This window comes from Homo sapiens, chromosome 14 (assembly GCF_000001405.40).
Source record: "Homo sapiens chromosome 14, GRCh38.p14 Primary Assembly".
Lineage (NCBI taxonomy): Eukaryota > Metazoa > Chordata > Mammalia > Primates > Hominidae > Homo > Homo sapiens.
In genome coordinates, this window is record NC_000014.9 from 103,436,908 (window position 1) to 103,458,347 (window position 21,440).

Below are 21,440 nucleotides of genomic sequence, written 5' to 3' on the forward strand. Positions count from 1 at the left end.
TGGTGAAACCCCGTCTCTACTAAAAATACAAAAAAATTAGCCAGGTGTGGTGGCGCATGCCTGTAATCCCAGCTACTTGGGAGGCTAAGGCAGGAGAATCACTTGAACCCAGGAGACGGAGGTTGCAGTGAGCCAAGATGGCACCACTGCACTCCAGCCTGGGCAACAAATGAGAAACTCTGCCAAAAAAAAAAAAAATTGAGAATAAAACTGTATATATGTTTGTTTATTTTTAGATTTCAAAAGAGAAGAAATAGAAAAACCGGCTTTCAGTATTGTTGCTTCTTTATTCCTTATAAACTTTTAAATTTCTTGCCAGACTTATTTTTGTTTTGGCAATAAATAATACGGGTTGATATTTAGAATACATTATAAACTCGGGAAGCTGAGGCAGGAAAATGGTGTGAACCTGGGAGGCGGAGCTTGCAGTGAGCCGAGATCACGCCACTGCACTCCATCCTGGGCGACAGAGTGAGACTCCGTCTCAAAAAAAAAAAATACATTATAAACTGAGAATAGTAGAGTGTATTTTAGAGATTGATTGTTTGTTTTTAGAATTGAGGTCTCACTATCTTGCCCAAGCTGGTCTCAGACTCCTGGGTTCAAGCATCCTCCTTCCGAGGATTCCAATCTGCCTTCCAAGGAGCTGGGATTACAGGCACACACCACCATACCCAGCTAAAGTATATTTTTCATTGTACCAAGGACTTATTATGCTATTTTAGAAAAGTCACCAAGGAACCAAGTATTTTAAGTGGGTTAAACTTAGAGCATAGCCTGGACCCATTTGCAGAAAATATAAACTTGGGTGCAAATTAGGCCTTTGTGAGAGAATTATAACAGTAACATCAGCCAGAATCACAAACACATGTCAGGAGTTTATTGTGTGCCAGGTGCTGTTCCATGCACTCTGTATGTCAAGCCATCCTTTCATTGTAGAGGTGACAGGGTCAGGGAGGTCAAGTTACCTAGACTTAGTGAGTGGTACAGCTGGGTTGGGATTAGGTAGTATAGCTCCTGGAATCAAATTCTACACACACTTTATCTTATAGCATTGCATGTACTTTTCACAACAGTCCTGTGAAGCAGTTGTTTTCTTTTTTTTTCTTTGAGACAGAGTTTTGCTCTTGTTGCCCAGGCTGGAGTGCAATGGCGTGATCTCGGCTAACCGCAACCTCCACCTCCCTGGTTCAAGTGATTCCCCTCCCTCAGCCTCCCGAGTAGCTGGGATTACAGGCACCCGCCACCACGCCCAGCTAATTTTTTTGTATTTTTAGTAGAGACAGGGTTTCTCCATGTTGGTCAGGCTGGTCTGGAACTCCCGACCTCAGGTGATCCACCTGCCTCAGCTTCCCAAAGTGCTGGGATTACAGGCGTGAGCCACCACGCCAGGCCGAAGTAGCTGTTTTCAAAATCTATCTTATAGGTAAGTAGGTTAAAGCTCTCAAGATTTTGTGGTTTGTTCACTCATCCAGTGAATAAGGGACTGAACTAGCCTTAGAACCTAAATTTATAACATCAAATAGCTTTCTTTGCATAAGTTCCCTTGGAGCCAGTCACTCATAGTACTTTCCATATGGGAAGGATAACAAAGGAACATATGGAAATTCAGCTTGCATGTGGTAGATACCTAGTAAAATCTGATAAGTTAATTTTGTTAGTACCAAATTCATTTTAACACTAAATTAATTTTTCCTGATGTTGCTCTGATTCTAGGAATCTTGACCACCAGAACCTTGAGTTTGGGAGATGGGAAGATTCTTAGTTTGTCTTTGAAATATTTGATCATAAAAAACACATTATTGGCCAGGCATGGTGGCTCAAGCCTGTAATCCCAGCACTTTGGGTGACCAAGGCAGGCAGATTGCTGAGCTCAGGAGTTCAAGACCAGCCTGGGCAACATGGCAAAACCCTGTCTCTACATACAGAAATTAGCCAGATGTGGTGGTGCGCACCTGTAGTCCTAGCTACTTAGGGGGCTGAGGCTGGAGGATTGCTTGAGCCCGGGAGGTCGAGGCTGCAGTGAACCATGTTCATGCCACTGCATTCCAGCTTGGGTGACAGAGCAAGACTCCTTCTCTAATTAAAAAAAAAAAAAAGCACACACATTGTTGCTACTCTTATTTTACATTTTTAGAAAACTGATTTGTTGTATTACTCAGCTAAAGCTAAGCAATTTTTTAAAATTTAGTTTTTAATTTTTATTAAATACTGACTGCATACAAAAGAATGTTCCATGTTTAGCATATAAATATGTATATGAGATGAGCACCCTTATACTACCTGCTTCAAGAAATAGATCTTCAACCATACCTTTAAACCAGTCCCATATTGTGCCCCTCCTCAACCTGATTCCCCTTCTTCATTGCCCACCTACTGGGTAAACACTAACAAGGATTTTGTGTTATTATTTTCTTGCTTTGTCCGTGTAATTTTACCACATATGGATCACTCATCAATGTAGTGTAAAGGTTTTTTTTGGTCTGTTTTTTGTTTCTTTTGTGTTTGTTTGTTTGTTTGTGACTGAGTCTCGCACTGTCTCCCAGGCTGGAGTGCAGTAGTGCGATCTCAGCTCACTGTAACCTCTGCCTCCCAAGTTCAAGCGATTCTTGTGCCTCAGCCTCCTGAGTAGCAGGGATTACAGGCGTGCGCCACCACACCCAGCTAATTTTTGTATTTTTAGTAGAGACCAGGTTTCACCATGTTGGCCAGGCCGGTCTTGAACTCCTGACCTCAAGTGATCCACCCACCTCAGCCTCCCAAAGTGCTGGAATTACAGGCGTGAGCCACCGCACCCCACCAATGTAGTGTAAAGTTTAAAAAATTGTATAAATGGACTCATGCTATGTGTATTCTCCTATTGGCTTTTGCTTTGCTTCCTTTTTTTTGTTTTTTTGAGACGGAGTTTCGCTCTTGTTACCCAGGCTGGAGTACAGTGGCGTGATCTCAGCACTGCAGCCTCTGCCTCCTGGATTCAAGTGATTCTCCTGCCTCAGCTTCCAAAGTATCTGGGATTACAGGTGTGCACCACCACACCCAGCTAATCTTTGTGTTTTTAGTAGAGACGGGTTTTCACCACGTTGGCCAGGCTGGTCTCGAACTCCTGACTTCAAGTGATCCACCCACCTCAGCTTCCCAGAGTGCTGGGATTACAGGTGTGAACCACCATGCCCAGCCGCTTTTGCTTTCTTTTACCTACATTGTGTTCCATGTTGATGTATTTTGCTGTAATTCACCTTCACTGCTATGTCCATTTTCAAGAATATGTAGTATCCCATTATGTGAATATGCCACTCTGTATTTATTCTGTGATTCAGAGACATTTGGATTGCTTTTTGTATTGCAAACATGACTGCTGTGAATTGTCCTCTGTGTGTCCTGGCACACTTGTGAAGAGTTTCTTAAATATATATACTTAGAATTCTTGTATCACAGAGTCTGTCTGCACATCCTCCTTCTTCATTAGAGAAGGCCAAATTATTTTCAGAGCAGGTATGCTAATTTATATTTCCATCAGTAGTGTGTAAGAGAGCACAAGTAATGTAGCATCCTCATCAAAATTTGATTTTCTCTGATTTTTTAAAATTTGTGCCATCACAGGAGAATTGCTTGAACCCGGGAGGTGGAGGTTGCAGTGAGCTGAGATTGCGCCACTGCACTCCAGCCTGGCGACAGAGCAAGACTGCATCTCAAAAAAACAAAAAAATTGTGCTATCAATTTGGTAAATATAAAAGTGATATTTGGCCAGGCATAGTGGCTTCCTCCTTAAATTCCAGCACTTTGGGAGCCTGAGATGGGAAGATCTCTCCAAGCCAGGAGTTCAAGAACCAGCCTGGGCAACAGAGCAAGACTCTGTATCTACAAAAAGATTTTTTTTTTTTTTAATTATCTGGGCATGGTGGCACATAGCTGTGGTCTCAGATAATTGGGAGGCTGAGGATTGATTAAGCCCAGGAGTTTACAGCTGCGGTGAGCTGTGATTGCACCACTGCACTCCAGCCAGGGTAACAGAGCAGGAGCCCCTCTTAAAAAAAAAAAAAGAAAAGAAAAGAAAAATCTCATTATGGTTTTAATGTAACATTTTCCTAATTACTGATGAGGTCATGCATTTTTTCATATTTAGGTTTTTTGTTTCTTCTGTGAAGTACGTATTCATCTTTTGTTTAATTTCTAGTGGATTTTTTCTTAGTTATTTTAGGATATCATTATATATCATGGATACTATTATATATGTGGCACACACCTTCTACTTGATGGTATATCTTCACTCTCTTGATACTGTCTCTCAGTGAATAGCAGAGGCTCCTAATTTTAAAGCAGTTACATTTATCAGTCTTTTTTTAATATGCTTTGCACTTTTTATGTCTTTTTTGTTTTTTTGTTTTTTTGTTTTTGAGACGGAGTTTCGCTCTGTCACCCAGGCTGGGGTGCAGTGGCACGATCTCGGCTCACTGCAAGCTTCGCCTCCCGGGTTCACGCCATTCTCCTGCCTCAGCCTCCCGAGTAGCTGGGACTACAGGTGCCTGCCATCACGCCTGGCTAATTTTTTTTGTATTTTTAGTAGAGACGGGGTTTCACCGTGTTATCCAGGATGGTCTCGATCTCCTGACCTCGTGATCCACCCATCTTGGCTTCCCAAAGTGCTGGAATTACAGGTGTGAGCCCCCACGTCCGGCCTTTTTTGTGTCTTCTTTAAGAAATTCTTCTCTACCTGGGGTCATAAACATATTTTTCTCTGTTGTCTTCACATGTTTAAAGTAATCTTTAAGCCACCAGCAGTCATGTGTTACGAGGTAGGGATCCAGTTTCATGGTTTTTCGTATGTATAATCACTTGCTGCCTCACCTCTCCTTTCTTTGCTGATCTGCATCGTGGACAGAGTCTCCGTGTCTAAACACACACTTTGTTCTTCAGAAGTGGTTATTCTGGTTCACTTAACAATTGCCATTTGAAAAGCAATTATTTTTATTTTATTTTCATATTTTTAAATTTTATTTTTAATGATAGGACACCAAATGATAACCAGAACCCCAAAATACATAGGTGAAAATCTGAGCTAAATTAATAGAAACACAGGCATGACAGAGAAGACTTTATCACTTAACTCTCTTAGGCCATTCATTAATTACACAGTAAGTAGGGGGAAAAGGTACATATCTTAATATACAGCACCTCCATGGCCAGGTGCGGTGGCTCACACCTGTAATCCCAGCACTTTGGGAGGCTGAGGTGGGCGGATCATGAGGTCAGGAGATTGAGACCATCCTGGTGAACATGGTGAAGCCCCGTCTCTACTAAAAAATACAAAAAAATTAGCTGGGCGTGGTGGCGGGTGCCTGTAGTCCTAGCTACTGGGGAGGCTGAGGCAGGAGAATGGTGTGAACCCGGGGGGCGGAGCTTGCAGTGAGCGGACATCGTGCCACTGCAGTTCAGCCTGGGTGACAGAGTGAGACTCCGTCTCAAAAAAAAAAAAATAACAGCACTTCCATTAGCCCATAGTATAGCTGTTTTAATCCCCTTTTCAGGATACATAACAGCTGTGTGCTAGGATATTATCGTCATAACTATTCCAATGTGTGATGACTATGAGGTATATTATTTTCTCAGAGTTGGGCAATACATAACATTTGAATAAGCCAGACTAACATCTTTCTAGGCTATAGTTCTAATGTAGAGCAATAAAAATAGAACCAAACAAAATATACAAACATGTGGAACCTAAAACACACAGAATTCTTGGATCAAAGAAAAATTGCAAACAAAAATTACAGTATATCTAGGAATTAATGATAATAAGCTGTGTGTCAGAACCTATGTAATACTGCTTTTTGGTGCTCCGGGAAATTTGTAGCCTTAAACACATTATTAAACAAGAATGACAAGGAATGCATTAAACATTAAACTAATAGTTTAGAAAAGGGAACAAAATAAATCTCAGGAATAAATAATAATGTAAGGAGTCAGTAAAGCTAAAGGCAGAAAATAATGAATTTGAAAACAGTAGAAATGGTAAATCCAAAACTTTGGTGGGTGTCCCCCCCCCTCCCACCGACAAGGAAGTGAGAAGAGAGGCAATGAAATAGATAAGCTACTAAGTGCTGCCAGGGGGAAGGGAGAGAAAACACAGAAAAATGAGGGGGAAATACCAGATACTGAAGAATTTAAATTATTATAAAGGAACCTTTTCTGCAACTCTGAAAAATGTTAGAATATCCAAAGAAATTGATAATTTTCTAGGAAAACATGACTTACCAAAATTAACTCTAGAAAAGAATCGATACACATCAGTAACAACAGAAGTTGAGAAAGTAGTTAACATATTGCCAAACCTGGAATTCATGATTGAATTCTTTGAGATCTACTGTGAGTACATACTCTGCCTCTGTTCAGCTGTTCCAGAACTTAAGAAGAGGAACTTCCAAATTCTTTTCTCAAATTCAGAAACAATGCTATTGAAATATATTGGAAACAGGAACGAAAACTACAGTTCAGTTTCACTTATAATATCCATTCTAAAATTGGGAATTAAAAATACTAGCATATAGGACTAAATACTGGTACATTTATCTTTGTTTCCCCAAAGATTCACTAAATGATGGTAACGGAATTAAAAAGGAGGGGAAAAGAGTCCAGGAATTGAGTACTGAGGCATTCTCAGGAAGAGCACCAAGAGAGGGAGGAGATACCCAGCGGTCACAGTGGAAGTCGTCTTTGAGACTTAGAGCGTTTGAGGAAGGGGTCGTCTTTAAAATAGGTTACCTACCTAGCACTTGGGAGACCAGACCAGCCTGTGGCAACCAGTGACATCAGTTCCTTTGAGTCTTTCCAGAGATACTCTGTATATTAAGAAGCAAATTTTTTTTTCCTTTTTTACACAAATGCATTTTCTTGAAAATTCCTTCTCATGAACTTTGCCAGCCTCTCTGTCTTGGTTTGTCTGAGAGGGCCTTTGATGCACTCTTCCATTTAGGTGCTGTGGTAGTTGAGGCAAAGGGACAGTTTCTGTAGAGTGATGAGGGAGTGACTTAGGTGGCCTGGTCTTCTGTCCCTTATCTGTGTATCTGGAGAAGGGAGCCTGAACACCTTCATTGTGATGGTTTAGATCAGTTTTATGTCTGTAACCCCCGTGTTCTCTTTTACATACTCATTTTACTTTCGTATCGGTTGGTAAAATTGTCTTTTTTTTTTTTTTTTTTTACTAGAGACTAAAATTCTCTCTCTCTTTTTTTTCTACTTGTCAAAAGGTAAAATTTTATTTTTCCAGTGGTAATACTTGACAACCCCCAGGTCTTGGCTATTGGGACATGTTTCTTTACTTCTCTGATACCGTAGATTTAGTGTCCTTGATATCCCCATTGCCAGGATTCCAAATCTTTGCCTTCAAAGGTATTTATTCTCCTCTTGTGTGCCAGTTCCATAGAGGATGTATAGATGTGAAAATGTGTGGAGGATATAGATTGATCAGTAAGGAGAGAATTCTTTCAATTTATACGTTTCCATGTAATTTGATTTCTTTTTTCCAACTAACATCTATTTAAGATTGAAAAGGGAATGTGGAGAAATAAGTTGTATTAAGATAGTAGAAATAGGCTGGGCGCGGTGGCTCACGCCTGTAATCCCAGCACTTTGGGAGGCCGAGGCGGGCGGATCACGAGGTCAGGAGATCGAGACCATCCTGGCTAACATGGTGAAACCCCGTCTCTACTAAAAATACAAAAATTAGCTGGACATGATGGCGGGCACCTGTAGTCCCAGCTACTAAGGAGGCTGAGGCAGGAGAATGGTGTGAACCTGGGAGGCGGAGCTTTCAGTGAGCCAAGATGGCGCCACTATACTCCAGCCTGGGCGACAGAGCGAGACTCCATTTCAAAAAAAAAAAGTAGAAATAAGGTGAGTTTCTCTTATTTAAATGGCCTTTTACAATTACAAAACTTTAAAATTTTTCTGGTATAGTCCTTATAGGGACTTTCCTTAAAGTTCACATTTGCCTTTCAGTACATTATTCCTATCCAAATTTAACTATCTTTGGTCATCAGATTCTGAGATTATGAAGTCTCTGGCATTTTTATCTCACTTGTATGCAAATTGTCAACTTCGTAAAAAGCTCTGTGCCAGTACCCACCTGTTGCTCTGGACTTTTCTATATCAGCAGCTTATAATTTGTTGATTTTTTTTTTTAGTTAAATTTCTAAGGTAGCAATGTGGAATCCTGAGATGAACGTAGACTTTGGAGTCAGGCAACCCACAATGAGAATCCTGGCTCCAGCATATATTAGCTGAGTCTTTGGATGAGTTTCCTAACCTGTCTCAGTCGTCTGTCTCTGTATACTGGAGATGATCATACTCAGCTGATAGAGTTGTGAAAATTAAGCTTAGATAAGACTGTGAATGTGAAGCATCTGGCTCTATGCGTCAGACACAGCAGGCACTAGATAACTGTTAGCTTCCTGCTTCCTCCCTGTCCTGCTTGTTTAACTTAGCATAAAGCTTATTTACACATTTGCTGCCTGCCAGTATCTACCTAATACATAATTCCAATAGAGAGGTGAATACATAAAGTTATTTGGGCTAATATCCTGCCACTACCTCTCTTGGGATTCTTTGGCTGCTCTTTTTGCCTACGGAATTAAATTTTTACTAGTCTTCTATCTGGTCCCATTTACCTGTCCTTTTTGTTTTCACATTGCATCCCTGGTATGACCTCTGCTGTAACTCAGGAGTTCTCGCATTTTAATATGGTGTCTGCAGAATATTAGTTATCCACTGCTGCCTAACAAATTCCTCCAGAACTTAGCAACTTAAAGCCAAATCTTTTGAATTCCTGTAATAGTCCATCTTTTTCCTGCTTTTTGGCTCTAATTCACTTTGTTTCATTTCTGCTGTACTGTTAGTAGAGACTTAAAAATGATTGCCTTCATTTGACCTGCTCCCCTGTCATCAGAACTGTGACAACTCTGTAACAAGCATTGTGCTGCGGAGGATTTAAAAGCTATGTGGTCATTAGAATGCTGAGGCTGGCTCAGACCGCAGTTGTTGGTAGTTAGTGCTTTCATGCAGGCATTTATCAAACAAATGCATTTCAGTTGTGTGCCAGCCTTGGTTTCAGGTATACAGTAGTGAAAGGAGACAGGCATGCTCCCTGTGGGTGACACAAGGATAACAAACAGGTGCACAAAAATGTGTCTTCATAGCTTGAAAGACATCCCAGGAAAGAAGTGAACAGATGGGCTATGATGTAAAACAAGGAGACCTACTTAGATACGTTTTCAGAGAATCTGCCTGAGACTTAAAGGATGAAAAGGGAGAAGACATTTAAAGGAATTTAGTATGTTCTGTGGCCAGGCGCGGTGGCTCACATCTGTAATCCCAGCACTTTGGAGGCCAAGGCAGACAAATCACCTGAGGTCAGGTGTTCGAGACCAGCCTGGCCAACGTGGCAAAACCCCGTCTCTGCTAAAAATACAAAAATTAGCCAGGCATGGTGGGACCTACAATCCTAGCTGCTCTGGAGGCTGAGACAGAAGAATCCCTTGAACCTGGGAGGCGGAGGTTGCAGTGAGCCGATATTGTGCCACTGCATTCCAGCCTGGGCATCAGAGTAAGACTCCGTCTCAAAAATAAATAAATAAACAAACAGTATGTTCTAGTAACTAAAAGGAGTTGGGGTGACTAGAACGTACCTTTGAGGGGTATGCAGAAGTTGGCAGGTTGCAGGGATGCCATGGCCATGGTCAGGGTTTCATTCTCAGTGCTGTGTATCCTGAGCTATATTGATATGGCATCCAAAGTGGAGATTGTTGTCTTTTTTTTTTTTTTTTTTTTTTTTTGAGTTGGAGTCTTGCTCTGTCACCCAGGCTGGAGTGCAGTGGCATGATCTCAGCTCACTGCAACCTCCAGGAGGTGTTGTAATTTAGCAGTTGGGAAGTAATTGGGAGATTTGAATTCTAGCTACCAATTCAACTATAATGGATTGGAAAACAAGATTTCTGTGTTAGTTTAACAGAGGAGAGCTAAAAAAGAACTCAGGCCTGAATGGTTGTCAGGAATTTACTTGGGTGACTATCTTCTCATCTCAGAACATAAAATGTAGGAATTACCACAGTTGCAAAGGGAGATGTTTATGTTGGAGATAAAAATGCTCCTCCCTTCAAAAATGAGACAGTATTTTAGATAGGAAAGGTTATTTATCTGATTACATGTTTTAAAATTCTGAGCGTAAGGTTATATGTCAAATCCTGTCCATGGGCTGGGCACAGTGGCCCACACCTGTGATCCTAGCACTTTGGAAGGCTGAGGGGGAGGATTGATTGAGCCCAGGAGGTCAAGGCTACAGTGAACTATGATCACACCACTGCACTTCAACCTGGGCAGCAGAGCGAGACCCTGTCTCAAAAAATAAAAATAAATTAACAAAAAAATCTGGTCCATGTCCATCTCCTCTTAGCTGCTAATTCAATTTTAGATTAGACACAGTGGACAAGGACAAGTATGGTGAGAGTCCTGTGATTTCTCACCAGCTTCCTTTCCACATAGGCCGCTGCTTCTCTTCTTCCAAGGTTTTTCCCCGCTTTTGCCTCCTGGAGGTTGTATCCTGGGTGTTAGGAGACTGGGTTCCGGACACATTCCCCACAGAAGGATAGCAGGACCTTAGAAGATCTTTTTCTTTCTTTTCCTGGTTTCCTCTTGTTTGCAAGAGGGTTGAATAGGATGGTCTCTAAAATCCTGTTGTTTTTCTGGGTTATATTAACCCAGGCCATAATGATAAGAACCTGCTCTGAATTCACAACATGTATTTATACAACAGCAATTTAATATTTCTTATTCTGTGGAATGGCTAGGAAGCTCTGCTGGTCTTGGTTGGATGGTTTTTTGTTTGTTTTTTTTTGAGACAGGGTCTCGCTTTGTCGCCCAGGCTGGAGTGCAGTGACGCCATCAGCTCTCTGCAACCTCCACTTCCCAGGCTCAAGTGATTCTCTTGCTCAGCCTCCCGAGTAGCTGGGACTACAGACACATGCTACTGCACCCAGCTAATTTCTGTATTTTTAGTAGAGATGGGGTTTCACCATGTTGCCCAGGCTGGTCTCGACCTCCTGAGCTCAAGTGATCCACCCACCTTGGTTTCCCAAAGTGCTGGGATTACAGGTGTGAGCCACCGTGCTCGGCTGGTTTTTCTTAAGGTCTCACCTGGGTTCACTTGTGTGGCTGAATTCAGCTGGTGGTTTGGCAGGGGCTGGATGCAGTTACAACAGAGGATCTGTCTCTTTAAATAACTACCCTTCATCCCCAAAGAGGCCAGACCAGCTCCTTCACAGTGCTCCAAGAGAGCAAGCCATGACGCCCAAGCATTTTATCCAGCCTCTGCTTGCTTCAGTTTGCTAAGGTCCCACTGGCCAAAGCAGATTACATGGCCAGGTCTAATGTCAATATGAAGGGGGCACTCCACAAAAGCGTGAACATGTAAGGCATGACTCATGAGGGTCACTAATGTAATAGTCACCACAACCTCCATGCTAAGTTACCTATATTCTCCAGTGAGGATTTCTCAAGGTGGTTTTGTTCATAGTCTTCTAATAGAATTATTTGGAATTATCAGTTTAATATGCTTATGATGTATTTCACTGGAACCATACAGGTTTTGATTCGCAGAGTTGGGAGCCCTGGGTAGATACTGAATCAGACTAAGTTTAATCACAGAAATTATTCCTGCGTAAGTCTGATCTTATGTTTTCAAGATAGCATTGTAAAATTCAGAGTATGTTACCATCCCCCTTTGAGACCTCTGCTGTTTTTAATAAATGGAAGCATTTGGGAATACTATTTGGTAATAGTTTATTAAAACTACTTCAGAGATATTCTGGACTTTCATATTAGTCTTAGATATGGATTAATAAACATTAGCAATGAATCTGTTATCTAAGAGAAAAATTTAAATTTATATTACAACAGTGGAATATAATGTTTAATAACTTGTGTTGGGGGGATTATGTGTTTTGTTTGTTTTTTTTTTTAGCTCTTCAGAGAAGTAAGAATAATGAAGATTTTAAATCATCCCAATATAGGTACTTTCTGCTTTTTTAAATATTTTGGGGTCTAAATACGTACTTGAAATTATGTCATAAAGCTAAACACGTATTCTAGAAATGGTAGAGTACACTTCTAGTAAAATATATATACAAGTTGTTGATCATTTGTATTAGCTTTTTGAAATTGCTGAAGACAGGTTAAAAGCTTAGGTATTAAACGTTGAATTTAAAGCTTTAATCTGGTAGAAACATCTGTACTCTGATTATAATTTTCTAATTTTTAAGTATATTAGAAAATATAATTGTATTGCATGAGTAGATAGAAGGGAATTATAGGAAGTCAGAATTAATATTTTCAAAGGGGCTGGGCACAGTGGCTCATGCCTGTAATTCCAGCACTTTGGGAAACCAAGGCAGGAGGATTGCTGGAGGTCAGGAGCTCAAGACCAGCCTAAGCAACAGAGCGAGACCCCGTCTCTCCAAAAAAAAAAAAAAAAAAAGTAATAATAATAATAAACTTAAAAATTTGTAAAAAGAATATTTCAGAGGTCCAATACTTTTTGCTGTGTGCCCTAAGAAAATACTTATTTGAAAGATGGAATACTTGCTATCTAATGGAATTGTGATAGGAATTATTTTATAAATCAAAGATTTGTTTTCTGTGTCCTCTGTGTGCACAACTCTGTGCTGGGTGCTAGTAGGTGTGTTTAAAGATGAGGAAGGAGCGACATGGTCCTACCCTTAGAGTAACTGTAGAAACAAGAAGAGAATAAGCAAATGACTTAATACTGACCCAAGAAAAACTTTTGATCCCATATGCATTGTAATAGGGCTTTTAAAAAATTACATAACTGCTTTTTTGTATAGTGATAGATCATACAATCTAAAAATAATATTTCAAGAATGAAATCACTCTTAAGACAGCCCATAATCAGCTTAACTGTCAACATCAGTTTTAGGAAATGAAAGGATTGATGTTTAGTATCAAGGATAGCCTATCAAGAATGCATCAGGCACAAGAATAGAAGAGTAACACAGAACCACCACAGGAAGAAAGAAGCTTTTACAGAGAGCTGCTTTTTTAACAAAAGGCGTATGCCCTATTTCATCAGTCTAAACCACCATTACTTTAAAGGTGTTCTTGTTTCCTTGTTTCATATACTACTAAGAGAAATGCTAGCAAGCCTTCATCCTGATATCAGGGATATTAATTAAAATGTGAAAAAAAAATTTAGAATCAATAAGTATGGTTGAAGAAAAAACCACGGAACAACTTCATAGTTGGATTAAAAAAAAATCACAAGGAATATAATAGTGGGAAGAAAATCTTGTTTCCTTGATTTTCATTTCAATCCTTTGGGGCTAGCTAGCCAACTCTGGATTTCAAATTCCAACTTTTCACACCCGTCCTCCCGCCCCCCACAAAAAAACTTTATCACTGTTGCCTAGAACAAGCTAACGTAAACATGTTTATTTTGTCTTTTAATTACTTAAATTGTGACCTGATTAGAGTTTTGTACTTAAAACTTGACATATCTTTGATAATAAATTGAACTTTTAAAAAATTCCTATTGCATTAACATAGTTTTCCCAGAAGACCCAAAGTTTCGTTGGAAGATTAGAAGAGTTTTATTTTCATGCAGCTTACCAACACATGTGCCTTAACTTTCTGAAGTGGCTTTTCTTCACAGTCTGAACGTATCAGAGTCTAGGGAATGGTATGATAGCTTTATTCATCAGTTCATCAAACATTTACTGACTGCTATGTTAGGCATTTTGTTTGGCCTGATACTCTATTAAAGCCTCAGAAAATTGCTTGAAATATAAAACACTAGCATACCCCCCAGTTTTGGGTAAACTTAAAGTAAATATTAACATAATAAAGTAGATATGCACAATGGTGATTTGATAGCTTCAGGGATTTACTCCAGTTTCATTTTTAAAGTGTGTGTGTGTGTGTGTGTGTGTGTGTGTGTGTGTGTGTGTATTCTTTTTTTTTTTTTTTTTTTTTTTTTTTGAGACAGGGTCTAGCTCTGTTGTCCAGGCTGGAGTGCAGTGGCATGATCTCAGGTCACTGCAACCTCCACCACACTGGCTCAGGCCATTCTCCCACCTCAGCCTCCCGAGTAGCTGGGACTACAGGTGCATGCCGCCATACCCAGCTAATTTTTGGCATTTTTTTGTAGAGAGGGAATTTTGCCATGTTGCCGAGGGTGGTGTCCAACTCCTCAGCAGAAACGATCCACCCGCCTCAGCCTCCCAAAGTGCTGGGATTACAGGTGTGAGCCACCATACTCAGCCAAAAATGTATATATTTCTAATAAGGTTTTATGAATTAGCAGTGATAGAAATATTTCCATCTGTAACAAAAGACTGCTGTAGGAAAATCACCCTGACCTACTGAAAATGATTCTTATAAAAAAGATTCCCCCCCTCAATTAATTGCAGTATAATCCCTCTACTTCTTTCCATCTTTGGCATCAGAAAAGTAACAAAGGAACCTTGTTCTTTGAAAGTTGTCATAAGTTTCCCAAGCAATAAAGGTCTCAAATAGAATTACATCCTTAAAGCCATAATCATAAGCAGCTAGATTTGCATTTGTTGGAGCAGAGTAGAACTGAGCAGTTGCTGCAGGCTGACCACTTTTCCTGGGGTGCTGGGAGGGCAGCTAGCCAACACAGACATGCTGAAGGACAGTGAGGGTGACAGAGGAAGTGAGCTCAGGTACACCTTGCTGGACTGCTGAGCACATATGGAAGTCACACTGAACATTCAGAAATTATTTTTATGGAATTCCATGCTTTCATAGACTCTTTTCTGTTGTTGTGGTATTTGATAAAATTCCCTAAAAGCATTTTTTAGAGGGCCAGCTATTAAAATCTTTAACAGGGAAAAGGTTGCTTTTCATAGTTAGAGTTTATATGTGCATGGTTTGTGCATACAGACATTTGTCTCTTTTTCTTCCGTGTCCTCTCCTCTCCCGCAGTGAAGTTATTCGAAGTCATTGAAACTGAAAAAACACTCTACCTAATCATGGAATATGCAAGTGGAGGTAAGAACATTTTTATATATATTGGGTTTTTTTTCTTTCTCCCTTTTAAAAAAATACACAACCATACTGCCCATATGGGTCATCATTAAGGTCTCATTTAACGTCCAGAGCCATAATACGCTAGGATGAGAGTCGGAAAAGCTGACTCTTAGCACTTCTAGGGGTTGCCATGAAGTGTTTCACTATTAGCATTGTTAATTGGTAATATCTAAATACCTGGATATTTTTTGTGGTAAAACATGCATCACTGAAAATTATCGTTAAAATCATTTTTAGGCGCACAGTTCAGTGACATTAGCATGTTCACGTTGCCCTCACCACCACCCATGTCCAGAATGTTTTCATTTTCTAACACGAAACTCTATACCCATTAAACACTAACTCTCCATTTCTCCTTCTCCCAGTCCTTGGCAACCATTCTCCTTTCTGTCTCTATGAATTTGACTACTCTTGGAACCTCATACAAGTGGAATTTTACAGGATTTGTCTTTTTTTTTTTTTTTTTTGAGACGGAGTCTCGCTCTGTCGCCCAGGCTGGAGTGCAGTGGCGCGATCTCGGCTCACTGCAAGCTCCGCCTCCCGGGTTCACGCCATTCTCCTGCCTCAGCCTCCCGAGTAGCTGGGACTACAGGCGCCCGCTACTACGCCCGGCTAATTTTTTGTATTTTTAGTAGAGACGGGGTTTCACCGTGTTAGCCAGGATGGTCTCGATCTCCTGACCTCGTGATCCGCCCGCCTCGGCCTCCCAAAGTGCTGGGATTACAGGCGTGAGCCACCGCGCCCGGCCAGGATTTGTCTTTTTGTGTCTGGCTGATTGATGCAGCATAGTGTCCTCAAGGTTCATCCATGCTGTAGCATGTGTCAGAATTTCATTCCTTTTTAAGGCCGAATAATACTCCATTGTGTGTGTGGGACACACACCTCACATTTTGTTTATCTTGAGTATGTGGCTATTTAAACATATGAATGCTTAGTCTGTTTGAAACAAATGTGTGCTTTGGTTTAGATGCTTTTCTTTACCAGATTTTAATGTCGCTGGTGTCTGTCTTCCCCAAGGCCAGAAATGATGGTTACAGTACACATCACTAGAGTTTCCTTAAAATAAAGATTAATGACTAGTAACTATTTGCCTATGGTTTTGTAAAAATGTAGACATTTTCTGAAATGCGTGTTTATAGCTGCTGTCTTTTATAATGATTTGTATTTTATGGTTGAGATTGGGCTGGGTTTGTAGTTTGCGACCACACGTGAGTTTCATTGTCTGTGAAGGGCAGAAGCTTTCTTGTTCATCTTTTTGTGTCCCCTGCCTCTAGCACACTGCCTGGCACACAGCAGATACTCAACAGATAAGAATTAGACTGCATTTAGGAATTATAAACTACTGGGTACACATTCTGTTAAACTCTATCGTAATTTTATCATTAGCACTTTGATCCATGTTACAAAACCTGAAGATAGAAAGTTGGATTATAGTCTCATTTGAGTGAGTTTACCATTGAAAATAAAAAGATTGTAAACCTGTTGTGGAAAACAATGAGTTGTAGTAAGCATACCTTTGACACCACTTTTTTATACTCCTAATTCATTATTAGTTGTGTATTTTATACTTTATATATGTCTAGTTTGGGAATTTCATTGGGATTTTCAAAACTTCAGGGGTAGTAGAAAGAGGGGAAGGTTAATTTCAGGACCAAAAAGCTTTATGGAGTTCTAATACTTTCTGTGGGCAAACAACACAGAGTAATGTTCATAGCCCTCACGTTGTACAGCCTCTACAGTGTACAAGGTGCTTTCTCTTACCAGATCTCCTTTGACCTTCACAGCGACTCCATGCTGTGGCCAGGCAGTGAGCGATGGGCTTTTTACCCATGAGGAAATGGAGGCTGGGAAGTCTCACTGTGGGCGCTCTGGGCCTGGACCGCCAGTGCTCTGACAGCAGATAGCCTTTCTAGTTTGTTGGTCAGTCACGGCTTTCTGTTCCCATCTGTTTTAGCTACCCAGGTCACAGAGATTACTCATATAGGGGCAAGACAAAAACATCTAAGAGTCATCCAGGTTTAGTAGAAAGAGGATGGGCTCTGGAAGAGACAGACATGGAGTGAATCCAGCCAGTGGCCCTCATTGGCCATGTGACCTGGCAAGTAACATGTGCTGAGCTGAGCTTCACGGTGAGCATAGGAACCCCCTCTGAGGGCTCAGTGCACTTGGCAACATTGTAAGAGCCTTTAATCATTTAATCGAAGGTGGTGGTTCTGTATTACCTTGGGTTTTTTTTTTTTTCTTTTTGGAGACAGGGTCTCACTCTGTTGCCCAGGCTCAAGTGCAGTGGCGCCATCTCAGCTCACTGCAACCTCTGCTTCCTGGGTTCAAGCAATTCTCCTGCCTCAGCTTCCTGAGTAGCTGGGACTGCAGGCGCACACCACACCTGGCTAATTTTTCTAATTTTTATAGAGACAAGGTTTTGCCACATTGGCCAGGCTGGTCTTGAACTCCTGACCTCAAGTGATCCACCTGCCTTGGCCTCCCAAATTGCTGGGATTATAGGTGTGAGCCACAGCACCTGGCCTCTTTAACAGTGTTTTGTTGAGTTTATTAAAACAATTTCCGGGACATATGTTTTATTGTTGATGTGTTTGCCATTGTGAAAAGTTTTATTAAATTGGCCACCCATTCCACCATTGCATCTCCCCCACCCGCCAGCCTGCTGCCTTTTGATTTGGTAAACTCATAGAATTTTAGAATTGAAAATAATCTTAGAAATTTTAGGGCAGCGGTCTAATTTTTACAGATGAAACTGAAGCTCAGAAAGTTTGTTCTATGCCAAGGGGTCCATAGCTAGTTAGTTTCAGGACCTGAACTAGAACTAAGGGCTTTCTGAACTGGCCTGTCAGTGTCCTTCCATCCAGCCACCTGTTCCTGCCCAGGCAGGAGAGCCACTCTTTGCTTCTTGTTTCTTTTATCTCTAATAAATAGCCTTAGTATTTTTCAGTTCAGCTGCTTAACCTGAATGTTAATACATTTTTAATAAGGAAAAAAGATCTGGATTGAATTCCTGGTTTAAAAGTTGAACTCCTGAATTATAATTTAGTAATTATGAGTGTGACATATGGTTCCACAAATCTCTTAAGAGGTTTGTATTGAATTCAAATTTAGAAAAAAAAATCTGTCAATTATATTGACAGACTTGGATTTTATCTGTGTTACTCTACAACAGCTGGTAGGCTTAATCGTTTAATTTTTTTAAGTGAAAACTCTCCTATATGATATTCACTCATGTTTAGTTGTTTTTGCTTATTAACCACTTGTTTTGACATTGTGTGCTTTTCTGCAAATAGGTCATTCGCATAGAAAATGCTGACACTTTACCGAGCTGACATTTAACTTCATAATTCATCATAGTTAAGTGAATTGTGTCGTGTAAACTTGACAGTATGTAATGCCTTTTAAAAGATCATTATGCAGGCTGGGCACGGTGGCTCACGCGTGTAATCCCAGCACTTTGGGAGGCCAAGACGGGCAGATCACTTGAGGCCAGGAGTTCGAGACCAGCCTGGCCAACGTGGTGAAACCCCCATCTCTACTAAAAATACAAAAATTAGCCGGGTGTGGTGACGCACGCCTGTAATCCCAGCTACTCAGGAGGCTGAGGCACGAGAATTGCTTGAACGTTGGAGGCAGAGGTTGCAGTGAGCCAAGATCGGGCCACTGCACTACAGCCTGGGCAACAGCACAACTCTGTCTCAAAAAAAAAAAAAAAAAAGCATTATGCAATCAAGTAATAACATGAAAATATTTGTGCCCATTCATTATGTAAAATTTATTCTTTCAGAGTTAGGGTTAATAAGAGTTTCAAAGTCAGATAATTGTGTAATTCATGATGACTTTCAAGTATCAAAATATTTTAGTTTAATATTTTCACTAAGCTGATGGAGGTATTCCTTATTTGTATGAAGTAAAGATGTTTCCTGAAAACACTTATATCTAATTTTCTAAATTAGTATTCTTTTCTATTGATTTCAGAGGTGGTGATTCTTTATTCTACATTGATAAGCAGTTGACAGTGCTAATAATATATTCCTTGAAGTGTCACCTTTCTTCCCTAAATAATTAATGTTGTGTAAACTGCCACCTAGGCGTGCATCAGCTGGTTCTGTTGTTTTCACCTCCATTGTATCCTGAGCTCCTACTTCTCACCACCACTGTGCTTCCCACTCTAGTCCCCGTCACTTTCATGATTGGTTTGATTATTGTACTGATCTCCCTCTTGGTCTTCCTGTCCCTTCCCGTCATTGGAAGCCTCTTCCCCGCTAGCAGCCAGTGATCCTTTTAAGAGGTCAGTCTTTTTTCATCTCTGCTTCTCATCTCACTTGTAGTAGAGCCAGAGTCCTCACCACGGCCTACAGGACTCTTCCTAGCCTCATGAACTACCCTCTTCCCCTCATTCACACTTCTCCAGCCCTGTGGCCTTCTTGCTCTTTCTCTTAATTACTGTGGAATCTTACCCCAGATAACTACATTGTCCACACCCTCAAGTAGTCAGCAAAACACAAGGGTGTGCACACACAGGCTCACTTGTCTGTCTCTCCTACTTTTTCTCCACAGCACTTACTGTCCTCTGATACACTATATGTTTATTCATTTATTGCCCCCTCCCCCAACTAGAATGTAAACTCTATGAGGAAAAGGATCTTGTGTTCACTGCTGCATCTCCCCAGAACCTACCTAGAACAGTGCCTTGCAGTTAGTAGACATTCAGGAAATATTTGTTGAATGAATGAATATACTCAGGAAATGCTTTGTTGTCATAATCCTGCAGTGAGGATGTCCTCTTCTAACACAAATAACTTCATCCATTTTAATTTTCTGTTTTAATTGCTTAGTTTTTATTAAAGCCTATTGAAAACGCTCTTTAAAATAAGAGTTATATAATTTAAGTATAGGGAATTTAATTTTAAGGCTTTTCTTCAGCTTAAAGATTTTGTTGGTGAATTTAAATGCCTGTAGTTAAAGCCAGCTTAGTTCAAATTCCACATATTTCTGGCTAACTTTATATCTATATTTAAAAATTAGAGCATTGCTAAAAGTGAAACATCAATTTATGGGAAAATTAATACTCAGAAGTAGGATTTCTACTTACTTTTATTTCTCTCACCTATAGGTGAAGTATTTGACTATTTGGTTGCACATGGCAGGATGAAGGAAAAAGAAGCAAGATCTAAATTTAGACAGGTATGAATTAATGTGTCTTTACTATGTCAATTTGATAATTTATCTCACTTAAACCCTGAAGCAAACAAGTGTTTGCCTCCATAAATGCTTATAAGGCCTGTTGGATGGCAGGGGTTGGCCATTCAATTCAACAAAAATTGATGAAGAACTTTTCATACCTAAGGCACTGTGCTGGAGGCAGCCATGGTTCTATTCCTAGCTTTGTAATGGGAGCATTAGTCTTATACTTAACCTTCCCTTTTTACAACTGAGCCTTAAAAATCTAGAGCCTTTCAAAAACACCTGTGATTACATTAATTAAAGCCATTTCAGAGTTTTTAGCAAGCAGAATGTCAGAACCCCAAAATTCATTATTAGCTTTGTCTGACATAAACCAAGGCCAAGTGTAACTGAAACTGTTAATTAGTAACTTTACTTCTTGCTTTGTTTTTACTCTGCTTTTTAAAGAGACTCGGGTTTTAATAAGCAGGTTTTAAGCAAACAGGTTACTTGACTCTCCTGTCTTTATTAATAATAATTACTGTTATCTATTGACCATGCCACACACTGAGATAAGTACTTTACCAACATTAAGGTAAATCTTACAGCTGCCTTGTGAGTTAAGGACTGTTATATCCATTTGCTAAAAAATAAGACAACTGAGACATGGGAAGATTAAATAACTTGCCCAGAATTGCCTTTCTTTTTTTCTTTTTCCCCCTTATTGTGGAGAACGGGGTCTCGCTGTATTGCCCAGGCAGGTCCCAGAATTGCCTTTCAAGTAGGAGACCTGCCATAGACTCAGAGTCCCAAACCCTCTGACCCCAAAACTCAGATTTGCAATCATTATATTGTGCTATTATTTAGACTGGGAATCAGCAAACTTCTGTAAAGGGCCAGATAGTGAACATTTTAGGCTTTGTGGGCCACACTGTCTCTGTCGCAACTATTTAACTCTCTTGTTGTAGCTTAGAAGCAGTCGTAGGCTGGGTGCGATGGCTCATGCCTGTAATCCCAGCACTTTGGGAGGCTGAGGTGGGCGGATCACCTGAGGGTCAGGAGTTCGAGACCAGCCTGGTCAACATGGTGAAAACCCTGTCTCTACAAAAACACAAAAATTAGCCGGGCATGATGGCAGGTGCCTGTAATCCCAGCT

At 40.4% G+C, this 21,440-nt stretch overlaps 1 protein-coding gene across 36 annotated transcripts in view, besides 2 other annotated features; it reads left to right on the plus strand.

The window, feature by feature from the left end:
- Nucleotides 1-21,440, plus strand: part of MARK3 (microtubule affinity regulating kinase 3) — a 118,417-nt gene that overhangs the window by 51,493 nt on the left and 45,484 nt on the right. For 33 of the 36 annotated variants that reach the window (NM_001128918.3, XM_005267641.6, NM_001128919.3 and 30 more), the window contains 3 exons: nucleotides 12,012-12,060; nucleotides 15,011-15,076; nucleotides 20,235-20,305. In NM_001128918.3, coding sequence (NP_001122390.2) covers nucleotides 12,012-12,060; nucleotides 15,011-15,076; nucleotides 20,235-20,305 — 186 coding nt within the window. Of the gene's footprint in view, nucleotides 1-12,005; nucleotides 12,061-15,010; nucleotides 15,077-20,234; nucleotides 20,306-21,440 lie in introns of those variants that run through there. The other 3 variants (XM_017021301.3, XM_047431393.1, XM_047431394.1) reach the window with 3 other exon arrangements.
- Nucleotides 18,146-18,646: an enhancer, noted in NCBI's record as "H3K4me1 hESC enhancer chr14:103921390-103921890 (GRCh37/hg19 assembly coordinates)". NCBI's record gives its function as "activates a minimal SCP1, AML or CMV promoter by ChIP-STARR-seq in primed H9 embryonic stem cells {active_cell/tissue: H9 hESC(primed)}" and the evidence as "EXISTENCE:reporter gene assay evidence [ECO:0000049][PMID:30033119]".
- Nucleotides 18,647-19,147: an enhancer, noted in NCBI's record as "H3K4me1 hESC enhancer chr14:103921891-103922391 (GRCh37/hg19 assembly coordinates)". NCBI's record gives its function as "activates a minimal SCP1, AML or CMV promoter by ChIP-STARR-seq in primed H9 embryonic stem cells {active_cell/tissue: H9 hESC(primed)}" and the evidence as "EXISTENCE:reporter gene assay evidence [ECO:0000049][PMID:30033119]".